Source organism: Homo sapiens, chromosome 3, assembly GCF_000001405.40.
Source record: "Homo sapiens chromosome 3, GRCh38.p14 Primary Assembly".
NCBI classification, from domain to species: domain Eukaryota; kingdom Metazoa; phylum Chordata; class Mammalia; order Primates; family Hominidae; genus Homo; species Homo sapiens.
This window is the reverse complement of record NC_000003.12, coordinates 113359137-113384221: the sequence shown is the minus strand read 5'-3', so window position 1 is coordinate 113384221 and position 25085 is coordinate 113359137. Positions and strand designations below refer to the sequence as shown.

Sequence of the window (25085 nt, the reverse complement as noted above, 5' to 3'; positions counted from 1 at the left end):
CCAGGCGTGGTGGCGGGCACCTGCAGTCCCACCTACTTGGGAGGCTGAGGCAGGAGAATGGTGTAAACCCATGAGTCAGAGCTTGCAGTGAGCTGAGATCATGCCACTGCACTCCAGCCTGGGTGACAGAGCAAGACTCCGTCTCAGAAGAAAAAAAAAAAAAAGTCAACTATTTGGAAATCATCATTCTCAGCAAACTAACACAGGAACAGAAAACCAAACACCACATGTTCTCACTCATAAGTGGAAGTTGAACAATGAGAACACATGGACACAGGGAGGGGAACATCACACACTGGGGCCTGGCAGGGGGTTGGGGGCTAGGGGAGGGATAGCATTAGGAGAAATACCTAATGTAGATGATGGGTCGATGGGTGCAGCAAACCACCATGGCACGTGTATACCTATGTAACAAACCTGCACGTTCTGCACATGTATCCTAGAACTTAAAGTATAATTTTTTAAAAAAGGTCAGCTATTAAACTAGCCTTTACTCTGAGTTCACCCTTTGTCTTTTTGAGACAATTTATTTGCCACTGTTATCTCCAAGTAGTTCTTTCACGACACAGAGACCTGTATTTCATTTACCATTTGCTTTTCCTAACTTAATAGTTCACTCTTTTCTTCATTTCCTTCCATATCCAGCTTAAAATTTATAATTCTTTATTTCAATAATACTATGGACTGAATGTTTATGCTCCTCCTGACACTCCAATTTATATGTTGAAGCCTAAATTCCCCATGTGATAGTATTTGGAGGTGGGGCCTTTGAGGGAATTAGGTCATGAGGGTGGAGCCCTTGTGAATGGGATTAGTTTCCTTATTAGGGGATGAAGAGACCAGAGTTTCTTCTCTCTGTCCTGTGAGCATACAAGACCACCATCGATGCAGCAGGAAAAATGCCCTTATCAGATACTGGATCTGCCAGTCCCTTGATCTTGGACTTCCCAGCTCCTAGAACTCTGAGAAATGAATTTCTGTCATTTAAGCTACTTAGTTTATGGTATTCTATTATAGAAGCCTGAACTGACTAAGACAAACAAGGATCAATAACATTCTTCCAATGCCCTGATTTCCTTTATCCCTCTGTCTTTTCTTCATACCCATCTAGCAAAAGTCCATCTCTGAATTTCCCCAACTACTTTATATTTGCCTATAGTAATCAGCCAAAGGCTGCTGGAGATAGTTATATGTCAATGAAGATTAGCTCCTCTATAATTTAGTGATTAAAATGGCCTGGACATAATCCATGAAATCGTTCAGCAATCCTATGACATTGCTCTTATCAACTCCCTCTTTCACACATGGTGACCATTTTAGAACTTTTCTTCTCCACAAAGCTTCAAGCCTTTTGCTCCCAATTCACTCTCAGCATCACTTACATCATAGAAAAACCAGGAGCCCTCAGGCAGGAACTTTTTCATTTCCCACTACCAAATGGAAAATCCCATTTACCTCTGTATTCACCTGCTCCTCGTCCCTCTTTTGCAGTAGAGAAGCTGTCTCCCTTCCTACTTAAGGCCAATTCTGCCTCTTGCCCTTTTGTTTCTACTTTCTCCCAGTTTTTTTTCAATATTTTACATTATTTCTCTTTTCTGTCATAGAAATTTAATCATACCTGTTTATTGGATTGTTTCCTTCAGTATTTAAATATGTTCCTGTTTCTCCCACTTACAAAATATAACTTCCTTGATCTTATATTCTCCTCTAGCTACTACCATATTTCTCTAATCAGCCAACTTTCTCAGAAGGATTGACTATTCTCAGATTCCATTTCCTTATCTATCACTCTCTCCTTTATGTGCTCTTACCTGACTTCTAGTCTCATCATTCCACCAAATCAGCTCTTCTAAAAGCACCAATAATATCCATTTAACATTTAGTTCTTATCTTTCTTGACCTCTTAGCATCATTTGATCCTGTCAATCTTTCCTTACTTTTTGAAATACCATCTCGCTTTCACTTTTGTGATACTATGCTTTGCTGGTTCCCTCTCCCACATCTTGTCATTCTTTCTCAGTCTCCTTCACTCAGTCATTGAGTATTAAGTTTCCCTAAGGCTCTCCCAATCTCTCCTCTCATTCTGTTCTTTTGCCCTAGGTGATGCCATCCAAGCCACAATTTTCTTATAAAAGCAAATGTTCCACAGGACTTTTGCACATGGTGTTTCCCTTGAGGACTTGCTCCCTCAAACCCTCCCTTAACTCATTATATAATTATAATTTATACATTTTTTACCTTGAAGCTCAGATACCACTTTCTCTGAAAGCTTTATACAACCTACTTGTTCTTATGACACCTCTGCAGGACTTCTGCAATTACAATTTACATTTATTTACCTGATTTGCTAAATGACAAGCTTCCATTGGAGGTAAGCTACATAATGGCAGATATTATATGTTTTTCTTATTATAAATTTATCCCTACCACTTAAGAAAATGCTGAGTACATAGTAGGTACACAACAAATAATTGTAGAATGAAATAACCAAATGAATAAACATTTCAAATAAAGTATCTGTAAATATCAAGATGGAGATTTCCCATTCATGATTAAATGCATGGTTTTGAAGTCAAGAGACAGGTCTGGGCTGGAGAGATTAATTTGAAATTTAATTGCATGTAAGTGGTAATGAAGGTTGTAAGATTTCCCAGAAAATGCTTATGGAGGCAGAGAAGAGGGAAGAGGACAAAAACCTTGGGAACATCCACGTTTGTTAAACTGAGACAGATAGAGGATGAGCCATTAAAGTAGGATGGGACTGACTACGCCATCCACACACGCAGAGTTTCCTTGGCAGTCCTAATTTTAATATCTGGTCCTTTCGGCTAACAGATTTCACAACCACATATATTCATCAGAAAATCAGAAAACATATATGAATCACATATGTTATAGCATCTATAAAGGAACCAAATGTAAATCTAATTTTAATAATTATTAATCTTTAATCACTTAATAATGATATAACAATAATTAGTACTATGACAATATAATAATTATTAATAAACTTGACTTTTTACCAATAACTGCAGTGAGGAATTAAGTGTGTTTTAAACATGGCTAATATACATAGTAATTATATTTTTATTTATAATCTCTTTAAACTATGCTTTTAAAAATTTGCCTAAATGTAAATATGTTCAATTTTTCTTTTTTAGCCTGAAAGTACTTTACTAATTATCTGTGAAAATGGCTATATTCTTGAAGCTCCACTTCCAACCATAAAGCAAGAAGAGGATGATCATGATGTAGTCTCCTATGAAATCAAAGACATGTGCATAAAATGTTTCCATTTTTCAAGTGTCAAATCTAAGATTCTGGTATGGAATATTCCTGAAGCATTATCTTATAATAATTTCCTTTCCTTAGAATATAAAATATCCTATGTTAAGTGCTGATGGAATACACAAAAGAATAAAACATAGGCCCTGAACTTAAGGAGTTTATAATCTGGTAGGAAAGCAGCTATTAGAAGGCAGTAGTAAATAGATACTGAAATCAAAATGCAAAGAAGGAAATTTTAGGGGTCTGCAGAGGAAAAGAGAGAAGATCCTGATAGAGGGATGGGAGGAGGTCAAAGATGACTGCATGGAAGTGACATTTAGTACCTAAAGAATGGGAGGGGCCAGGCACATTGGCTCATGCCTGTCATCCCAGCACTTTGGGAGGCTGAGGTGGGAGGATCGCTTGAGCCCGGGAGTTTATGGCTGCAGTGAGCTGTGATTGCACCAATGCACTCCAGCTCAGGTGACAGAGTGAGACCCTGTCTCAAGAAAAAAAAAATAGGGGGAATTTTGAGAGGTGAAAATAGGGCGATGGCAATAAAGGCTGGAAGAACATCCCAAGAGAATGCAGAGTTGTGAGTGTTTTCAAGAAATGAGGAATAGATCAATAAAATATAGGGAGGCAATTTGTTGAAGGATGTTGCAAGAGTCTGTGACCAATGCATGGAGCTCCTTAAATGCCAGCCAAGACATTTCATTTTAGACCACTGGGATCCATTGTGAGTTTGTGAGGAGGGGATTGATGTGATGATATCATATAAGTTTGGGAGATATACCTAATGCTAGATGACGAGTTAGTGGGTGCAGTGCACCAGCATGACACATGTATACATATGTAACTAACCTGCACATTGTGCACATGTACCCTAAAACTTAAAGTATAATAATAATAAATAAAATTTAAAAAAATAAGTTAGGAAGATTATTCTGAAGGGTGAACAGAATGAAGTAGTAAAAGATGGGAGGCGGAAATACCAGTGTCAGAGGGCTTTTGCAAAGGACAATTGATAGATGATGAAGGCCAAACTCACAGTATTACTGAAGTTGGAAGCAACTTTCCTTGTGGACTATTTCAGTCTACCTAATTCCTGGGTTAACAGTGATAGGCTCTAAGAGAAGTTATATTTAGCTTCTCTATTATGAAAAAAATGACCAAATAATTTCTATAAAACCAAGATTGATGGGGGTAAAACAAAAATGAGTCATTCTAATGATTTAAAAGTTTTAATGATAAAAATATATTCTCGCATTGGTGAGTATTTTTAAATATTATTTGTTACAGAGCTGTGTATCTTCTTTCTATTTTCATTGTCATCCCTAATGGTGTAAATGAACGAATGAGTCATAATTGTTTTTATACCTACTTAATGTTTATTTTAAAAGAGATTAATAGAAATTGAAAAGAGGGAGAGACAAAGGGAGTTGAAGGAGAAAATAAGGGAAGAAAGGAGGAACAAGCTAGCAGCAGAGATGGGAGAAGATGGAGAAAAAGAATTTCAGGAGGAGGAAGAGGAGAAAGAGGAGGAGGAGGAGGAAGAAGAGCCATTACCTGAAATATTTATTCCGTCAACCCCCTCTCCCATCCTCTGTGGATTTTACTCAGAGCCAGGGAAGTTCTGGGTTTCTTTGGTAAGTAACAATGTAATAATTTTTACCTCAATCATATTTCAATATAGTTTATAGTTATTGTAACTTCATTCTTTCTTACTCTTATGTTAAGATTTCATTTATCTATTTATTTTTTTTTAGATTTCATTTATTAAATACTATTGAAGTCGTGAGTTTTGATGAATGAATGTGGGATATAGTTGTTTTTAAATAATCTTAACATCTCTTTTATATGTCTTCTTGTGCAGATAATTGTACAGATAAATCTATAGATTATAGATTATCTATTATCTGCTTGTCAATCATACATGTTCCAGGCAGGTCAAAGAGGAGAAGGATCAAGCGTAGAAAGGCAAAAGGCTAGGGGTTTTTCCAACCAAGACTGTTGTTTTTTAATTTTGAAAAGAATAGCTTTCATGGCAGTACTATCCAGTAGACTTTTCTTACTTCTCATTATCTACAACTATGCTGTGGGGTCATATGCAAGTCTAGGAAGATAAGTGTTTTTAGATGGTCTAAGTGCCACCCTGAACAAAATCAGAACTTGGCTCATAAGGAAGAAGGGAAAAATGGATATTAGGAAGAAAGTACCAGGGCCTATCACAAGGCTGTAGGAGTATATCCTCCAATTATACATTTTTTACTATTTGCTTGAAATATTCTATTGATCTACTGCAAAGCAAGATTTCCTTCATTATAATTTTGTCACAATTTTCAGTTCCCTCCACCAAAAATAATTTCATAAAAGTGTGTGTGGAAGATCATTACTAATTCATCCCTGGTCCTAGGTCTTTAGCCAGGCCAGGACACTGACTAGCCAAGGACTATTGCTGTAAGGAGTGATGAGTGTTGACTTTTTCCCTCCTCAACTTTTCCTAGAAATGTAACTTTTGTATTACTAAGGAGGCAAGCAGAAAGAAGGATGGAAAATAGCATTGGAGACATCATAGGACATCCTTTATTAGTTCCTCTACCCTTTCTGCCTGTCGTCTGTGTTTTATAAAACAATTGTAAATGGCTACTATTGTATGGAGTTCAAAGGATAAAGGGATAAAGAAAACATGGTTCCTGCCTTCAGGAAGTCTTCATTTGAGGGAAAGAGGTACAGAAACAATTAATGTAATACAATGCAATAAATTTCCAGTGTCCTGGAAATATAGATGCAAAAATTACTCATTATTTAACAAACATAATTGGGAAGATTGGGAAGATTGCTTGAGCCCAAGAGTTCGAGACCAGCCTGTGTAATATAGTGAGATCCCATCTCAAACAACAACAACAAAACACAAACAGAAAACTCCACGCATATTTAGTGCTTACTCTTAGGGTTTCCAAGTAAAATTACATAGTACATACTTACACTAAAAATTATTTTTGGCTGGGTGCAGTGGCTCACACCTGTAATCTCAGCACTTTGGGAGGCCGAGGCGGGTGGATCACGAGGTCAGAAGATCAAGACCATTCTCGCCAACATGGTGAAACCCTGTGTCTACTAAAATACAAAACATTAGCCGGGCATGGTAGCAGGTGCCTGTAGTCCCAGCTACTCGGGAGGCCAAGGCAGGGGAATTGCTTGAACCCGGGAGGTGAAGGTTGCAGTGAGCCGAGATTGTGCCACTACACTCCAGCCTGGTGACAGAGCAAGACTCTGTCTCAAAAAATATATATATGTTTTTGTTTGTCTGAAATTTAAATTTAATAGATGTCCTTTATTTTCATTTGCTGAATATGACAACTTACTTATTCTGTATCAGGTATTTTTCTAAGTAATTTACTTAACCAACTATAAAATAAGTGCTGGTTTTTTTTGCATTTTATATATGAAGAAACCAAGGCATGGAAATGTTAGGCATTTTATCTGAGGCCATATAACTAATGAGAAGTGAAACTAGAATCTGGACTCAAGCAATCTGGCTCCAGAGTTCATGCCCTCAACCATTAAGCTACACTGGTGAACAAGGTTAAAACATAGTTAACAGAGGTAGCAAAGCTTGAGTCAACAATATGACAACTCTGTGCCTGCAGCCAAACAAATGGTGAAGAAAAACCAGTTTCATTTTGAAGTACTGACTGCAGTTCTCAAATCAATACTCACACTGCAGGCCAATTCTACTGCCCAGCCATATTCACTTTCCAAATTATTACATTAAGTCTTTCTTCTCCCCTCAAGCATTTTGTACCTTCTCTTACTCTTCAATGATAACCTCATCTCACATTTCACAGAAAAAAATAAAAGCAGATGGAATTTCCTTTTCTTGTCTCAATTAGATGTAACACCCTATAGGGATCTATATTCCTTTTGTCTGCTTTGCCTATTGTTATAATTGGAGAACAGTCTCCTGCAACTCTCCAAGGACACTGTTCCCAATGGCTCCTTGATCCCATCCCTTCTCATTTTCTCAAAAACTTTGCTCCTGAGATAAACCACTTGGTCTCCTGTATCATCAGTTTCTGTCTTTTCTATTCAGTTATTATCATGAGCATACAAACATGCTCTAGTACTAATCTTAATTTTATTTCCTGAACCTCTCTTTCCTTTTCCCCCCTTGCTCTGTTACATAAAAAGTTATTGAAAGAATCATCTGTAATCATTGGCTTAACTTATTCACCTCCTATTTGATCTTCAACCCATTCCAGTTGGGATATCTCCATCACTTCACTAATGATGATAAGCTCAGAGGTCAATTCTCTGTCCATTTGACTTTTCGGAACATTTAACAGAGTTGACCCCTCATACTTCTCAAATGCTTTCTTCTCTTGGCTTCTAAGACATTACACTCTTCTGACCATTCCATTTCAGCCTCTTTTGCTGGCTTCTCATGTGCAGAACAAGCTTTGAAGTTTGAAATACTCCAGAGTGCGGCCTTGGGCCCCCTCTTTCTTGCTAAGGTAACTACACAGTCTCATGGCTTTAAATATCACTTATCTTCCAGTGAATCTCAAATATTTATTTCTAGTCCTGACCTCTCCCCTCCACTTAGACTTGTATATCCAACTTGACAATGCTCCTTGGCACCTCAAAATTAACCTGTCCAAGACATTACTTTTAAACCATACATGTCCCATACAAACCTGCTCCATCTCCATCTCAGTAAATGAGACAATCATCCACTTAGTTACTATGCCAAAACCTCGACGTTATTAAGGATTCTTCTCTTTCCTTTACTATTTGATACCCTTATATCGAAAGTAGGTCTCTTGTAAACAGTATATGGTTAGGCTTAAAAGAATCCTATAGGATTATATTTGTCTTTTAAAAAAGTACTATGTTCATTTATATTTAATGTAATTACTAATATATTTTAGTTTAAATCTACTATCTTACTAATTATTTCTATTTGTCGCACTCATTCTAAATTTATTTTCTTTCCCTTTTTTTTACCTTCTATTGAGTGATTAGGTAATTTTTTCCACAGTTTTCTTCCTCTACTAGATTATTAGTTATACATTCTTTTACTATTCTTTTAGAGGTGATTTTATTTATTTATTTATTTTTATTTTTGAGACAGAGTCTCACTCACTCTGTTGCCCAGGCTGGAGTGCAATGGTGCCGTCTCAGCTCACTACAGCCTCTACTTCCCAGGCTCAAGTGATTCTCCTGCCTTAGCTTCCCGAGTAGCTGAGATTACAGGTGTGTGCCAACACGCGTGGTTAAAAGGTGTTAGTTTCTTCATTTTTATTTTGTTTGCAGTTCGTAGCACTCTAAATTTCAACATATCTCTTCAGTTTTAGAAAATTCTCAGCCATTATCTACCACAGTGTTGCTTCTGGCCTATCTTTTCACTCTCTTGTTCTGGGACCCCAACTTTATGTGTATTACATCCTTCTCATGTTCCGTATGTATCTTACATCATTCAAGAAGATTTTCCATCCTTTTTGTCTTTCTCCATGCTTTAGCCTATTTTTTCTGATCTCTGTTCCAGCTTCGTAACTTTTATTTTAAAGTTTGTTTTTCCAATTGCTTTTTATTGAAGTAAAAGACATATAACATAAAATTGACCATCTTAACCATTTTTAAGTGTACAGCTCAGTAGTAGTAAACGTATTCACAATGTTGTGACGTCATCACCAACATCTGTTCTACCGTCCTCCTCATCCTGTAACACTGAAACTCCCATACTCATCAAATGATAACTCCTGATTCTTCCCTTCTCTCAGCCCCTGGCAACCATACTTTCTTTCTTATGATTTTGACTACTCTAAGTATCTCAAATAAGTGAAATTATATAGTATCTGTCTCTTTATGACTGGCTTGTTTCACTTGGGATAATTTCCCCAAGTTTCATCCGTGATGCAGCATATGTCAGAATTTCCTTTCAAGGCCAAATAATACTCCACTTTAAGTATGTACCGTATTTTGCTTATATACTCAGTCATAAATAGACATTTGGGGCCAGGCACGGTGGCTCACGCCTGTAATCCTAGCACTTTAGGAGGTCAAGGCGGGTGGATCACTTGAGGCCAGGAGTTCCAGACCAGCCTGGCCAACATGGCAAAACCGCATCTCTACTAAAAATAGAAAAAATTAGGTGGACGGAGTGGCTCAAACCTGCAATCCTAGCTACCCGGGAGGCCGAGGCAGGAGAATTGCTTGAACTTGGGAGGTGGAAGTTGCAGTGAGCCGAGATGGCACCACTGCATTCCAGCCTGGGTGACAGAGTAAGACCCCATCTCAAAACAAACACACAAAAATAGACACTTGGATTGTTCCCACCTTTTGGCTATTGTGAATAATGCTGCTATGAATGAGGTGGGTGTTCAAATATCTCTTTGAGACCCTGCTTGAACCCTGGAAATGATTATTTCTTTCTCCATAAGTCTATGAGACTGCAGATAGCTTTGTCCAGCTTCTTAGCCTCTCAGCTGCCACATATATGTAACAAACCTGCACGTGTGCACATGTACCCTGGAACTTAAAGTATAATAATAAATAAATAAATAAATAAATAAATAAATAAATAAAAGAAATTGACAGTTGCTCCAGGGAGTAAAGCAGTGCCAAATGCCAGGCTCACTTTTGGCTTTCCCTCTTTTTTGGATCTTGCTATTTTGGTAGCTTGCCAATGCCTTCAAACACATTTACAAAATTTGTTCTGGTTGTTCTCAGTGGGAGAGTTTGGCTGAAACAATCTAGTCTGCTGTTGTCAAAAGTGAAAACTTAGTAATTTGATTTTCAGAGGTGATCATGATGTTACATTCTCTTTCTTATTTATTCTTTTATTGTTCATAAAGTTGTTCTGACCCTTAATTTGTTTCCTATAATAAGGAATCTCAGTAATAAGGAAATTAGAGTTGGAGCAATATAGCTCTTCCAGTTGATCATTCATCTTCTCACTACATGGATAAATTTTTCTGAAATAGCCCTTTCTGGAAAATTAACAGTGTTTACAGTTACCTTAAACTGCAAACTAGCTGTAAAAACGAGGAACTGCAAAACCCTAATATTTGTTCCTGCTTATTCAGAATAATGCTTGAAGAAATAAAATGAAATTCTGTAGGTAGGGAGTCAGAGGTGATATCTCTCTTGTATTGGCTTTTAAATGAAAACAAATCATCATGAGGTTTTTATTATAATTATATAGTTGTGTATAAATGGATAAAGGAGATGCTTTATAGAAATAATAAATCTATAATCATAGAAATTATGTAGAAGTAGATGTTTGAAAACATCTATTTTATGTTTTCAAATTTGAAATAATCAAAAAATTCTCATGCATTTATGTGTGTTATATTCAAGTACCACCTTCTATGTTACTTATCTCTTTTCTAGGGTGGCTATGATTCTGGTTTTCTATATCACTGTGAGTTCCCCCCTTGTGATGAAAGCAGTGATTTCAAAGAACAAAAAGATGAACCTATTGATGTCCGTTATCTTGCGGATACAGAGGACAATCCCATCCAAACTATCACTTTCAAGTGAGCAGTATTTCAAAAAGCTTTAAAAAAACCATATCCTGTTAGTGTCTATGCTTTTGTTCATCATGGATATTGTCAATTTTTAAAGATCCATCCAAATGAAGGGGTACTCAAAAAATATTTGGTTAAATAAATCAAATGAATAAATAAAATCAAAGCTAATACTGAAATTATATTTAAATACCCCCACCAAATATTCTGTCAGTATTTTTGTTTATCGCACAATTGAATTGTATGGATTTACATTCTGCTACCTAGGAGGATGCTACTTACATAGTCAGAAATGAAGGTTCAGGGTTACAGTTATTCTGGAGAAATCACAAATGAATCATTAGCCCTTTAATAATTGAGAACTAGGCAAATATGCCAGTTATTCTTCTGACGACCCAATATAATAGCTTCAAATTTCAAATTGGCCTTTTTTCTCTATTCTTTTGTATTAGTTTGCTAGGGCTGCCACAATAAAACACCACAGACTAGGTGGCTTATACAGCAGAATTTTTTTTCTCACAGTTCTGGAGGCTAGAGTTCCAAGATCAAGGTGTCAGCAGGTTGGTTTCTCCTGAGGCCTGTCTCCTTAACTTATAGATATTTGCCTTCTTGCATGATCTTTTCTCTGGGTGCATGTCATCCCTTATGCTTCTGTCTGTATCCTAATGTCCTCTTCTTCTTTTTTTTTATTATTATACTTTAAGTTCTAGGGTACATGTGCACAACGTGCACATTTGTTACGTAGGTATACATATGCCATGTTGGCTTGCTGCACCTATCAACTCATCATTTAAATTAGGTATTTCTCCTAATGCTATCCCTCCCTCTGCCCCCCACTCCCCAACAGGCCCTGGTGTGTGATGTTCCCTACCCTGTGTCCATGTGTTCTCATTGTTCAATTCCCACCTATGAGTGAGAATATGTGGTGCTTGGTTTTCTGTCCTTGTGATAGTTTGCTGAGAATGATGGTTTCCAGCTTCATCCATGTCCCTGCAAAGGACATGAACTCATCCTTTTTTATGGCTGCATAGTATTCCATGGTGTATATGTGCCACATTTTCTTAATCCAGTCTATCATTGATGGACATTTGGGTTGGTTCCAAGTCTTTGCTATTGTGAATGGTGCTGCAATAAACATACGTATGCATGTGTCCTTATAGTAGCATGATTTATAATCCTTTGGGTATATACCCAGTAATGGGATGGCTGGGTCAAATGGTATTTCTAGTTGTAGATCCTTGAGGAATCGCCACACTGTCTTCCACAATGGTTGAACTAATTTACATTCCCACCAGCAGTGTAAAAGCATTCCTATTTCTCCACATCCTCTCCAGCATCTGTTGTTTCCTGACTTTTTAATGAGTGCCATTCTAACTGGTATGAGATGGTATCTCACTGTGGTTTTGATTTGTATTTCTCTGATGATCAGTGGTGATGAGCATTTTTTCATTGTGTCTGTTGGCTGCGTAAATGTCTTCTATTGAGAAGTGTCTGTTCATATCCTTTGCCCACTTTTTGATGGGATTATTTGTTTTTTTCCTGTAAATTTGTTTAAGTTCTTTGTAGATTCTGGATATTAGCCCTTTGTCAGATGGGTAGATTGCAAAAATTTTCTCCCATTCTGTAGGTTGCCTGTTCACTCTGATGATAGTTTCTTTTGCTGTGCAGAAGCACTTTAGTTTAATTAGATCCCATTTGTCTATTTTTGCTTTTGCCATTGCTTTTGGTGTTTTAGACGTGAAGTCTTTGCCCATGCCTATGTCCTGAATGGTATTGCCTAGGTTTTCTTCTAGAGTTTTTATGGCTTTAGGTCTTACATTTAAGTCTTTAATCTATCTTGAGTTACTTTTTGTATATGGTGTAAGGAAGGGATCCAGTTTCAGCTTTCTACATATGGCTAGCCAGTTTTCCCAGAACCATTTATTAAATAGGGAATCCTTTCCCCATTTCTTGTTTTTGTCAGGTTTGTCAAAGATCAGATGTTTGTAGATGTGTGGTGGTATTTCTGAGGCTTCTGTTCTGTTCCATTGGTCTGTATATCTGTTTTGGTACCAGTACCATGCTGTTTTGGTTACTATAGCCTTGTAGTATAGTTTGAAGTCAGGTAATGTGATGCCTCCAGCTTTGTTCTTTTGCTCAGGATTGTCTTGGCTATGCAGGCTCTTTTTTGGCTCCATATGAAGTTTAAAGTAGTTTTTTCCAATTCTGTGAAGAAAGTCATTGGTAGCTTGATGGGGATGGCATTGAATCTATGAATTACCTTGGACAATATGGCCATGTTCATGATATTGATTCTTCCTATCCATGAACATGGAATGTTCTTCCATTTGTTTGTGTCCTCTTTTATTTCATTGAGCAGTGGTTTGTAGTTCTCCTTGAAGAGGTCCTTCACATCCCTTGTAAGTTGGATTCCTAGGTATTTTATTCTCTTAGTACCAATTGTGAATGGGAGTTCACTCATGATTTGGCTTTCTCTTTGTCTGTTACTGCTGTATAGGAATGCTTGTGATTTTTGTACATTGATTTTGTATCCTGAGACTTTGCCGAAGTTGTTTATCAGCTTAAGGAGATTTGGGGCTGAGACAGTGGGGTTTTCTAAATATACAGTCATGTCATCTGCAAACAGGGACAATTTGACTTCCTCTTTTCCTAATTGAATATCCTTTATCTCTTTCTCTTGCCTGTTTGCCCTGGCCAGGACTTCCAACACTATGTTGAATAGGCATGGTGAGAGAGCACATCCTTGTCTTGTGCCAGTTTTCAAAAGGAAATGCTTCCACTTTGCCCATTCTGTATGATATTGGCTGTGAGTTTGTCATAAATAGCTCTTATCATTTTGAGGTACATTCCTTCAATACCTAGTTTATTGAGAGTTTTTAGCATGAAGGGCTGTTGAATTTTGTTGAAGGCCTTTTCTGCGTCTATTGAGATAATCATGTGATTTTTGTCGTTGGTTCTGTTTATGTGATGGATTACGTTTATTGATTTGTGTATGTTGAACCAGCCTTGCATCCCAGGGGTGAAGCCCACTGGATTGTGGTGGATAAGCTTTTTGATGTGCTGCTGGATTTGGTTTGCCAGTATTTTATTGAAGATTTTTGTGTCTATGTTCATCAGGGATATTGGTCTAAAATTCTCTTTTTTTGTTGTGTCTCTGCCATGCTTTGGTTTCAGGATGATGCTGCCCTCATAAAATGAGTTAGGGAGGATTTCCTCTTTTTCTATTGATTGGAATAGTTTCAGAAGGAGTGGTACTGGCTCCTCTTTGTACCTCTGATAGAATTCGGCTTTGAATCTGTCTGGTTCTGGACTTTTTTTGGTTGGTAGGGTATTAATTATTGCCTCAATTTCAGAACCTGTTATTGGTCTATTCAGAGATTCAACTTCTTCCTGGTTTAGTCTTGGGAGGGTGTATGTGTCCAGAAATTTATCCACTTATTCTAGATTTTCTAGTTTATTTGCATAGAGGTGTTTATAGTATTCTCTGATGGTAGTTTGTATTTCTGTGGGATCAGTGGTGATATCCCCTATATCATTTTTTATTGCATCTATTTGATTCCTCTCTTTTCTTCTTTATTAGTCTTGCCAGTGCTCTCTCTATCAATTCTCTTGATTGTTTCAGAAAACCAGCTCCTGGATTCATTGATTTTTTGAAGGGTTTTTTTGTCTCTATCTCCTTCAGTTCTGCTCTGATCTTAGTTATTTCTTGCCTTCTGCTAGCTTTTGAATTTGTTTGCTCTTGCTTCTCTAGTTCTTTTAATTGCAATATTAGGGTGTTGATTTTAAGTCTTTCCTGCTTTCTCTTGCGGGCATTTAGTGCTATAAATTTCCCTCTACACACTGCTTTAAATGTGTCCCAGAGATTCTGGTACGTTGTGTCCTTGTTCTCATTGGTTTCAAAGAACATCTTTATTTCTGCCTTCATTTTGTTATTTACCCAGTAGTCATTCAGGAGCAGGTTGTTCAGTTTCCACATAGTTGTGCAGTTTTGAGTGAGTTTATTAACCTGAGTTCTAGTTTGATTGCACTGTGGTCTGAGAGACTGTTGTGATTTCTATTCTTTTACATTTGCTGAGGAGTGTTTTACTTCCAATTATGTGGTCAGTTTTAGAATAAATATGATGTGGTCCTGAGAAGAATGTATATTCTGTTGATTTGAGATGGAGAGTTCTATAGATGTCTATTAGATCTGCTTGGTGCAGAGCTGAGTTGAAATCCTGGATATCGTTGTTAACCTTCTGTCTCGTTGATCTAATAATGACAGTGGGGTATTAAAGTCTCCCATTATTATTGTTTGGGAGTCTAAGTCTCTTTGTAGGTTTCTAAGGATTTGCTTTATGAATCTGGGTGCTCCTGTATTGAGTGCATATATATTTAGGATAGTTAGCTCTTCTTGTTGAATTGATCCCTTTACCATTATGTAATGGCCTTTGTCTCTTTTGATCTTTGTTGGGTTAAAGTCTGTTTTATCAGAGACTAGGATTGCAACCTCTGCTTTTTTTGCTTTCCATTTGCTTGGTAGATCTTCCTCCATCCCTTTATTTTGAGCCTATGTGTATCTCTGTAAGTGAGATGGGTCTCCTGGATACAGCACACTGATGGGTCATGACTTTTTATCCAATTTGCCAGTTTGTATCTTTTAATTGGAGCATTTAGCCCATTTACATTTAAGGTTAATATTGTTATGTGTGAATTTGATCCTGTCATTAGGATGTTAGCTGGTTATTTTGCCTGTTAATTGATGCAGTTTCTTCCTAGCCTTGATGTTCTTTACAATTTGGAATGTTTTTGCAGTGGCTGGTACCGGTTGTTCCTTTCCATGTTTAGTGCTTCCTTCAGGAGCTCTTGTAAGGCAGGCCTGGTGGTGACAAAATCTCTCAGCATTTGCTTGTCTGTAAAGTATTTTATTTCTCCTTCACTGATGAAGCTTAGTTTGACTGGATATGAAATTCTGTGTTGAAAATTCTTTTCTTTAAGAATATTGAATATTGGCCCACACTCTCTTCTGGCTTGTAGGGTTTCTGCCGAGAGATCTGCTGTTAGTCTGACGGTCTTCCCTTTGTGGGTAACCCGACCTTTCTCTCTGGCTGCTCTTACAATTTTTTCCTTCATTGCAACCTTGGTGAATCTGACAATTATGTGTCTTGGGGTTGCTCTTTTCAAGGAGAATCTTTGTGGTGTTCTCTGTATTTCCTGAACTTGAATGTTGGCCTGCCTTGCTAGGTTGGGGAAGTTCTCCTGGATGATATCCTGAAGAGTGTTTTCTAACTTGGTTCCATTTTCCCCATCACTTTCAGGTACACCAATCAAATGTAGATTTGGTCTTTTCACATAGTCCCATATTTCTTGGAGACTTTGTTCATTTCTTTTTACTCTTTTTTCTCTAATCTTGTCTTCTTGCTTTATTTCATTAATTTGATCTTCAATCACTGATATCCTTTCTTCCACTTGATTGAATCAGCTATTGAAGCTTGTGCATGCGTCACGAAGTTCTCGTCCTGTGGTTTTCAGCTCCAGGAGGTCATTTAAGATCTTCTCTACACTGTTCATTCTAGTTAGCCATTCATCTAACCTTTTTTTCAAGGTTTTTAGCTTCTTTGCAATGGGTTAGAACATGCTCCTTTAGCTCGGAGAAGTTTGTTATTACCAACCTTCTGAAGCCTACTTCTGTCAACTAACTCATCAAAATCATTCTCCATTCAGCTTTGTTCCATTGCTGGTGAGGAGCTGTGATCCTTTGGAGGAGAAGAGGTGCTCTGGTTTTTGGAATTTTCAGCTTTTCTGCTCTGGTTTCTCCCCATCTTTGTGGTTTTATCTACCTTTGGTCTTTGATGTTGGTGACCTACAGATGGTGTTTTGGTGTGGATGTCCTTTTTGTTGATGTTGATGCTATTCCTTTCTGTTTGTTAGTTTTCCTTCTAGCAGTCAGGGCCCTCAGCTGCAGGTCTGTTGGAGTTTGCTGGAGGTCCACTCCAGGCCCTGTTTGCCTGGGTATCACCAATGGAGGCTGCAGAATGGCAAATATTGCAGAACAGCAAATATTGCTGCCTGATCCTTCCTCTAGAAGCTTCATCCCAGAAGGGCACCCGCCTGTATGAGGTGTCTGTTGGCCCCTACTAGGAGGTGTCTCTCAGGCTACATGGGGGTCAGGGACCCACTTGAGGAGGCAGTCTGTCCGTTTTCAGAGCTTGAACGCTGTGCTGGGAGAACCACTGCTCTCTTCAGAGCTGTCAGACAAGAACGTTTAAGTCTGCAGAAGTTGTCTGCTGCCTTTTGTTCAGCTATGCCCTGCCCACAGAGGTGGAGTCTATAGAGGCAGTAGGCCTTGCTGAGCTGAGGTGGGCTCTGCCCAGTTAGAGCTTCCCAACCGCTTTGTTTACTTAGTCAAGCCTCAGTAATGGCAGACACCCCTCCACCCGCCGGGCTGCAGCCTCACAGGTTGATCTCAGACTGCTGTGCTAGCAGTGAGCAAAGCTCCATGGGCGTGGGACCCGCTGAGCCAGGCATGGGAGGGAATCTCCTGGTCTGCCAGTTGCTAAGACTTTTGAAAAGCGCAGTATTTGGGCAGAAGTGTACCATTTTTCCAGGTACAGTCTGTCACAGTTTCCCTTGGCTAGGAAAGGAAAATCTCCTGACCCCTTGCGCTTCCCAGGTGAGGCAACACCCTGCCTTGCTTCGGCTTGCCCTCCATCGGCTGCACCCACTGTCCAACCAGTCCCAATGAGATGAATCAGATACCTCAGTTGGAAATGCAGAAATCACCCATCTTCTGAGTCGATCTTGCTGGGAGCTGCAGACTGGAGCTGTTCCTATTTGGCCATCTTGGAAGTGACCCCCTTTGATATCTTCTTCTTATGAGTACACCAGGCAGACTGGATTAGAACCTACCCTAATGTTCTAATTTTAACTTAATTACCTCTTTAAAAGCCCTATCACAATGCAGTTACATTCTGAAGTATTAGGGGTTAGGGCTTCAATATAGGAATTTTAGGGGTGTACAATTCAGTCCATAACAACTTTGTTATTAATTTAGCCACTTGTCAATTAAGTTGAAATTAAGCATTATTTTCAGATTAATGGGAAGAACAATTTACATTTTTTGTTTCGTAGCATTAACAAAGTTATGATGTTTTGTGGAATGAAAAATGGAGCAATTCGAGTCTATGTCCTAAATCAAAATGATCCTTCATTGACCAGTTTGGTGGACTACTGGCACTTCAATATGCATGACAATAATTATGGATGTATTAAAAGTATTGCTAATAGCTTTGATGATCGTTTCTTGGTGACTGCTGGAGCAGATGGCAATATCTTTGTTTTCAACATTTTTTCTGAATTTATGCTAAGGAAAGACATGAAGGCCAAAGTTCCATCTCCCAGGGTATGTAATTAATTAACCAGTTAATTAATAACAAACTGTATTTAAAAATAGTGATATTAAAATTGTTCATATTCGTTATAAATTAAAAGTTATTTAGACACATTCACCTTATGGTCTAATCTTCCTGCTACTATTATAATTTGACTTTCTGGTGCTTATATATCAAATATTAAAGGTATTACATTCCCCTTATTATTAAAGATTGGAATTCCCCAGATTAAAAAAGAATGTGTCAGTTTTTCTATGTAGTTAAAAGTTTGTATATTAAAAAAACTTTCTTAATCAAAGGTTTTTTTTCAAAGTTTGCAATTTTTTCAGATTTTCTTTTGCTTTTCATTTATTCATTCACTCGTTGTAAGGGCTGATATAGGACATATGCCATAAAGTGTGGTTTTGATAGGGGTTGCAAAAATATAGTTGTTTTTAGTATTAGAATGTGACAATGTGGGTCATGATTAAAGATTCAGTATAAAGTATTTTTTTAAAAGCAGAACTAGATTTTTGGCTTTATGATGAAGTTTGAGGGTTCAGATCCCCAAATTATGTCCTTTTTTCCTGTCATAGAACTTGAATTTCATATTATCAAGCAATTTGTTTGGAAAAAGTCAGTAGGTAATAACCATTAGAATTGCTCCTAAGGAGAAAGGAGTTGTATTAGAAAGATTATAGCTAAAATTCCTTTGAACATATTGGCTTCCCATTTAGCAGGTAGCCTACTTCAAAGTACACATAAAGAATGTAGGGAAGATATGAGTAGGTCAATTTTCATTTCTTCTAATAGCAAAATTTGGAGTATGGGCTGCTGGTTAGAGAGGGTCCAGCTCAGAAAAAGGAATTGCAGGAGGGAAAGTATATGAACAAGAAGAAAATGCCTTTCTACCTGGTGCCAACCCTCTCTATAGAAACCCATATTGGATAGAAAAATGTTTATTCCACATTTCAATAATCATGTCCTTTTATTTACAGCTGCAGTCAATATCCCTCCTACAGAAACCCATATTGGATAGAAAAATATTTATTCCACATTTAAATTTATGGCTGCAATCAATATTTCTGAAATCACTGAAGCAGACATAGCTTTTAAGAAAGAAAAAATGAGAAAGATTTTTTTTAAAAAAAACAACAGAAAACAACTAAGCTCAGCACTGGTCTGAGGTTCTTACCTTACTGTACTTTAGAATCAGCTAGGGAGCCCTAGAAGTACAGATGCCAGAGCCCACCCAAGAACAATTAAATTAGAATCTCTGAAGGTGATGCCCAGTCTTCAGTATTGTATACACTATCCTTCATGTGATTCTACTGTGTAGCTAGGATTGAGACCCATTGGCATATATTTTGGAACTGATTGGCATATTTTTGGAACTTTTGTTTAACTCAACCTTATTGGAAACAACTGTGACCAGGAGACAATTGCCCCAGTATCAGCATCAAATCCTAGAAGTTACACTGATATTAGAAAACCAAGGTACTTAGCTCTGGCCAATAAAAGAATAAAAAATAAATAAAATTCAGTAAATTTTTGTCCTAAGTGATTAATAGTCAGTACAATTTATTAGCCATTACTGTCTCTTATATTGATCATGTTTTATGACTTTGCTTTTATTAAAGTCATAAACCTTGACTTCCATAAAAATATGTAGATTTACATTTCATACATATAAAGACTAATAAAACAACTTTATCAAAAGAGAATCTTTATTTACTTACAACAAATGACAGCAAAACAGAGACCTATCTTCTGTGAAAGAGAATAGGGAATAAAGTTTAGTTTTATTTATGAACAGACTAGTTAGCAAACTAAGACTATTTTGTTCACTGGGTTATAATTCTCCTTCCTTAATATCACAGACTAAGACATTTTACAGCACAGTACCTGAATAAACAGAGTACTTTTAAGTGATTTACTTTTTAGTTCCCCCAAATTTAAACTGATTTCCTTTCTGAAGGGAGACTTGTATTTCTGATTTCATATCTTTCTCTTTCAAGGAGGGGGATTATATTGTTCTTTGCATTTTCCACTTTATGTCTTCCTTTGAGAAGGTGATATAAAATGCTTACTTAAAATGTAAAAATATATATATTGAAATATTTCTAGGACACACTGAGGTATTTGGACAAATGATTCATGTGATAAAGGTATATACTGAAAAACAGCATTTTGAAATAAATGATCTAGACTTTTGTGAATTCTGTGTTAATAGCATATGAACATTAGTAATTTACATTTTGAGGGGAAATTATGGGGATATTAACATTTTGCAAACATATGATTAGGTTAAGACTTTTCCTATGTACTCCTTCAAATAAAGCAGAAACAAGTAAGTTTAGTAAACTGCATTTTTTTCCTTGGATTTTTGTGAAACTGATTTTCAGACCTATAATTATTAGAAATTGGCAGAAAAAGAAAACCGAACCAATTTGAGTTTTTAATTTACTTCTTCCTAGATATTTTAAGGAAAATGCTATGCAATTTTAAAGGGCTAACCTTTTACTTCCCTTCCTATAGTTTGGAATTGAAACAGAGCCAATTCCAGAAGACATTGAAGATCCCAAAGCCTACAGGTATGGGAATTTTTGATAAATACTGACTAGGCCTGAGATTTTGCAAAACAAATCAACAGTGCAGAAGTTGACCAAGCTTAATGAATTTTCAAATTATTGAATACTAATTTTCTCTTTCTCTGCTGTTTCTGTATCACAACCTGTTATTGTTTTAAATTTCTGTTTTCAGTATCGAGAATGCTAGGAGAAAAAGAGAACATGACAAGTTAATGAAAGAAGTGGGAGAAATAAAGGCACGGAAGAGAGAGCAAATCAAAGCTTTGAGGAGTGAATTTTGTAATCTATTAGAAATGAATGAAAAATTACCAAAGCATATGCAGTTTAAACGAACAGTAAGCCTAATATAAACTTGATTTTTATTTTAACATATGCTATTTCTGGATAGAGATGACTATTTTCCCAACAAGTAGAAACACTTAAAATCATCTTTCTTTTTTGTTTGTTTCTTTCAAAATTTCAATAGCCATTTATTTTGGGCATCTTTTAATTTGTATGTGGGGTTTATCCCTTTTAATCAGTTAAGATTCTTGTTGACACAAATTGTTTTACATCAACTGTTGTTATAGAACACATGAAAGGAATACATGGGGAAGAAATAAAGTAGAACCCAAGAGTTCTTTTAAGTTTTCTTTTATAGAGACATGAATAACAGATACACTGAAGTATAAACAAAAATTGGCCTGAAGCGTCCGGTGGCTGGCTTCGTTGGGAACTATGGCTAAACGTCATCCCGATTTGATCTTTTGCTGCAAGCAGACTGGTATTGCTATCGGAAGACTGTGTGAAAAATGTGATGGCAAGTGTGTGATTTGTGATTCCTATGTGCATCCCTGCACTCTGATGCACATATGTGATGAGCGTTAACTATGGATCTTACCAGAGGTGCTGTGTGATCTGTGGAGGCCCTGGGGTTTCTGATGCCTATTATTGTAAGGAAGTGCACCATCCAGGAGAAGGATAGGGATGGCTGCCCAAAGATTGTCAGTTTGGGTAACTCTAAGACAGACCTTTTCTATGAATGCAAAAAATACGGCTTCAAGAAGAGGTGATTGGTGGTGGCCCCTTCCTCCCCTCCACATCAAGCTGCTGCAGCTGCCAGAAAAGATGCCTGCTACTACCAGCAGAAAGGGAGTGGAGCCCAGAGCATCACGAGGAGTGCCTTCTAGTGTACTGTCACCTTGCCACCCCCTCCTGTCCCTTCACCCAGACACATGGAAGGGATGGAAAAGGATTCTTCACAGAGCACTCCGGTACACTGTATCAGACAAAAATTGATAGATTAGCTAATGGTTTTTCTTGAATTTGAGAAGCAAAGCCCTGTTCTCCATATTGATATGTTCTCCCTCAACCAAGATCTTCTAAAAAGAAATAATATTTTAGTCTTCTGCTTGAGGATTTGACTGTGAAGCTATGCCTAGTGAAAAACATATTCTTGCAGCAGCTCTGGTGGCAGTTATCCTTGAGGAACCTTCAGTGTGTGGTGGGAAGCTATCAGAACAAGAAATGTAGGCATTTAATCTTATAACACTTGTGCTGGTTTCATGCCTTCTGAGAAATTAGAAACCCTTTCTGTTGCTATTATATTAATAAAATTGGTGTTTGTTTTCTGGTAAAAAAAAATTGTGGTCAGAATAGCAGGTCTTCAAAATATAAAGCAGAAAATAAAATACAGGTCTTTAGGCTGGGCGCGGTGGCTCATGCCTGTAATCCCAGCACTTTGGGAGGCCGAGGCGGGCGGATCATGAGGTCAGGAGTTCGAGAGCATCCTGGCTAACATGGTGAAACCCTGTCTCCACTAAAAAATACAAAAAAAATTAGCCAGGTGTGGTGGTGGGTGCCTGTAGTCCCAGCTACTCAGGAGGCTGAGGCAGGAGAATGGCGTGAAACCTGGGAGGTGGAGTGTGCAGTGAGCCGAGATCACGTCACTGCACTCCAGCCTGGGGGACAGAGTGAGACTCCATCTCAAAAAAAAAAAAAACAAAACAGGTCTTTATTCTACAATATGTATAATTATATAATTTCTTATAAATTATAAAATTACTTTAACACAATACACAAAATAATAGTAGTCATTTTTTGATTTCATAAGCATTTCAAATACAGACATGTTGAGTTGGCAAAATTATACTATAGTACGCAACTTTTGCCTCAGTGAATCTAGCTTACTAGCTCAGGCTGAATATTCACCCTCTGAAGCACTTCTTCAGGCATGCCAAAAGTAGGACTGACAGATGAAATTACATACGCGGTTTATCTCTCTCAATCCAGTGAAGGCTTCCAGTGATCTTTAGGAAAGCCAACACCCACCATGAATAGCATACACCTGCTAACTTCCCTGGCCTTCCATTAAATCCACCCAAGGGTAACTCATTCACAAAACCACTAACCAAGTAAATCATAATTTACTTGATGCAACTGACTTGGTAATAGCCAGGAATCCTGTGCAACAATAAATGTGCCCAGCATGGAATTCAGAACCTGGTCTGCAACCAAATCCACCATCAAAATTCATACACAGATAAAACAAATTCAACTGCCTTTTTTTTTTTTATATTAGTAGCATCAAGCTTCCCCAAGAGAGCCAGTTTCCACCACACAAAAAGAGAATCTTGTATCAATTTCCCCCTACTTTATAAAAGTAGATTTTTCCCATCCTATGAAACAGTTGGTCTCTCTGCCCTGCACTGTGTTCATCCCTTATCTTTCAGGCTGGCCCCCTCTGGTCCAGTAATTCTGTATGCTGATAAAACTACCACAGTGCACGCTGGAACTTCCAGCAGACCATTAGCTCCAGTTAGAGCAGCTGCTCAGTGGGACCCCAAAAGTCTCCAGCAAGAGAAACATCTTCTTTCCATAGACTTGGAACATATTCCACAACTTTTTTACATCGATAACATTAATACTATCATACAGAGTAAGAATCTGGACAGCACTAACAGTGTATAAAAGATGAGGATCATGTCTGATATTAGCACTTATTCTACCAAACTCATGTTGGCAAGACTTAATAAATGTCAGAATTTCTTCACTATTCATGCAGTGAAGTTGTCCCATGAGATCCAATACTGTCAAACCCCAATAGACACCACTCATTCTCAAATACTCAGACATATAGTATTCATAATCATCTTTCTTTGAGCCATAGGATGTGATACAATCTACATGTTTCTACAATAATAAGGTGTCTGGTGTATCTCACTTGATAATAACATGGCCATGTCTAAGAGTGAAGAGCCAAAATCATCTTTAAGCTTCTTTTTATCTGGCCAGTCAGTATGTTTGCAGCAAATAAACTACTCTAGAACTTGACACACTGCTTGGTTTGGAAGCAGATGAACCTCTTTACGTAATACAAAGTTTACTATTGGATTTACCTACCACACTTTTTTTTTTTTTTGGTAACAAGATAAGACATAAGTATAGGTTTGAATCTGGTTATCAACTCTTATTGTACTTAGCCAAAATACAATGGGTAGATGCATGTATAATTTGATTGTCTGTGCTTCTATTTCTATAATTTATCAGATCTGTTGAAAAGACAGTACCCGGTTGATCTACAAAATTTTTAAAAATGATTTAATTTAGTTGTAGCTATGGGGGCAATCACAAAATTGTTTAAGCCAATTTTGTATTCTACCTTTTTTTCTTTTGTGACTTATTGCAAAGCCCCATGTACCTGCTAGTGGTTAGCTTTTTTTCATTTTGTACCTCTTCCTAAATGGAGTTAATTAACCATCTGATCAAGTAAAAACCCATAATTCTTAATATATTCATGGGTTACCCAGTCCTGTAATTCTAGAAGCACTTTGCCAATTTCATATAAAAAATGCTTTGGTGAAATCATGATTTAATCATGTTGGTTAAAAAAACCAGGTCAAAATAGTTAAAAGACCTTTATGCTATTTTTCTAAGAAAAATGTTGAAACTTCCAGAGCATGGGTAATAAAATTTAAGATAAAAAACAACTGAGGCAAGTGCTGTGACTAAGCACTTTGTACACATCATTACTTAAATGACACACAAACACCTCTGAAAAGAATAATTACTACTCACAATTTATCACAAATATTGGCTCTGATATTTTTCCAGGGATGAGGGTAAGAAACATGAGACCTCTAAGTATCCTTATGGGAGAAAGTGGAGCCCTTTGTGAAGGAGATTCAACAAAAACTTGGTGATGTCAAGAAGACACCAGATACTGCTATCTTTCCTGGGTGGGGTCACACCAGGGGGGATGTTCAGATAATGATCAGTTGCCATAAGCATCTACCTCATGTCCAATTTTTATGTAATAGTAGTTTCTTTGAGATAGCGTCTTTAAAACTGTATACTCTCCAAAT

At 37.4% G+C, this 25085-nt stretch overlaps 1 protein-coding gene, 1 long non-coding RNA gene and 2 pseudogenes across 8 annotated transcripts in view, besides 2 other annotated features; 3 read left to right on the top strand and 1 right to left on the bottom strand.

Annotated features, from left to right (window-relative positions):
• The window catches only part of SPICE1-CFAP44 (SPICE1-CFAP44 readthrough (NMD candidate)), a 228227-nt gene that overhangs the window by 130935 nt on the left and 72207 nt on the right, over window positions 1-25085 (top strand). For 4 of the 6 annotated variants that reach the window (NR_183046.1, NR_183045.1, NR_183050.1 and 1 more), the window contains 5 exons: window positions 3162-3323; window positions 4671-4916; window positions 17913-18183; window positions 20690-20745; window positions 20915-21077. This is a non-coding gene — a long non-coding RNA (SPICE1-CFAP44 readthrough (NMD candidate)). Of the gene's footprint in view, window positions 1-3161; window positions 3324-4670; window positions 4917-10665; window positions 10812-17912; window positions 18184-20689; window positions 20746-20914; window positions 21078-25085 lie in introns of all 6 variants that reach the window. The other 2 variants (NR_183049.1, NR_183048.1) reach the window with 2 other exon arrangements.
• Window positions 1-25085, top strand: part of CFAP44 (cilia and flagella associated protein 44) — a 154585-nt gene that overhangs the window by 57293 nt on the left and 72207 nt on the right. The window contains exons 16-21 of one of the 2 annotated variants that reach the window (NM_001164496.2): window positions 3162-3323; window positions 4671-4916; window positions 10666-10811; window positions 17913-18183; window positions 20690-20745; window positions 20915-21077. In NM_001164496.2, coding sequence (NP_001157968.1) covers window positions 3162-3323; window positions 4671-4916; window positions 10666-10811; window positions 17913-18183; window positions 20690-20745; window positions 20915-21077 — 1044 coding nt within the window. Of the gene's footprint in view, window positions 1-3161; window positions 3324-4670; window positions 4917-10665; window positions 10812-17912; window positions 18184-20689; window positions 20746-20914; window positions 21358-25085 lie in introns of those variants that run through there. The other variant, NM_018338.3, reaches the window with a different exon arrangement.
• Window positions 6686-6980: a silencer, noted in NCBI's record as "tiled region #3247; HepG2 Repressive DNase matched - State 9:DNaseU". NCBI's record gives its function as "represses a minimal TATA promoter and a strong SV40 promoter by Sharpr-MPRA in HepG2 cells {active_cell/tissue: HepG2}" and the evidence as "EXISTENCE:reporter gene assay evidence [ECO:0000049][PMID:27701403]".
• Window positions 17247-17748: an enhancer, noted in NCBI's record as "H3K4me1 hESC enhancer chr3:113085321-113085822 (GRCh37/hg19 assembly coordinates)". NCBI's record gives its function as "activates a minimal SCP1, AML or CMV promoter by ChIP-STARR-seq in naive H9 embryonic stem cells {active_cell/tissue: H9 hESC(naive)}" and the evidence as "EXISTENCE:reporter gene assay evidence [ECO:0000049][PMID:30033119]".
• Window positions 21192-23976, bottom strand: RABGGTBP1 (RABGGTB pseudogene 1; annotated as a pseudogene).
• On the top strand, window positions 21425-22357 carry PHF5AP2 (PHF5A pseudogene 2; annotated as a pseudogene).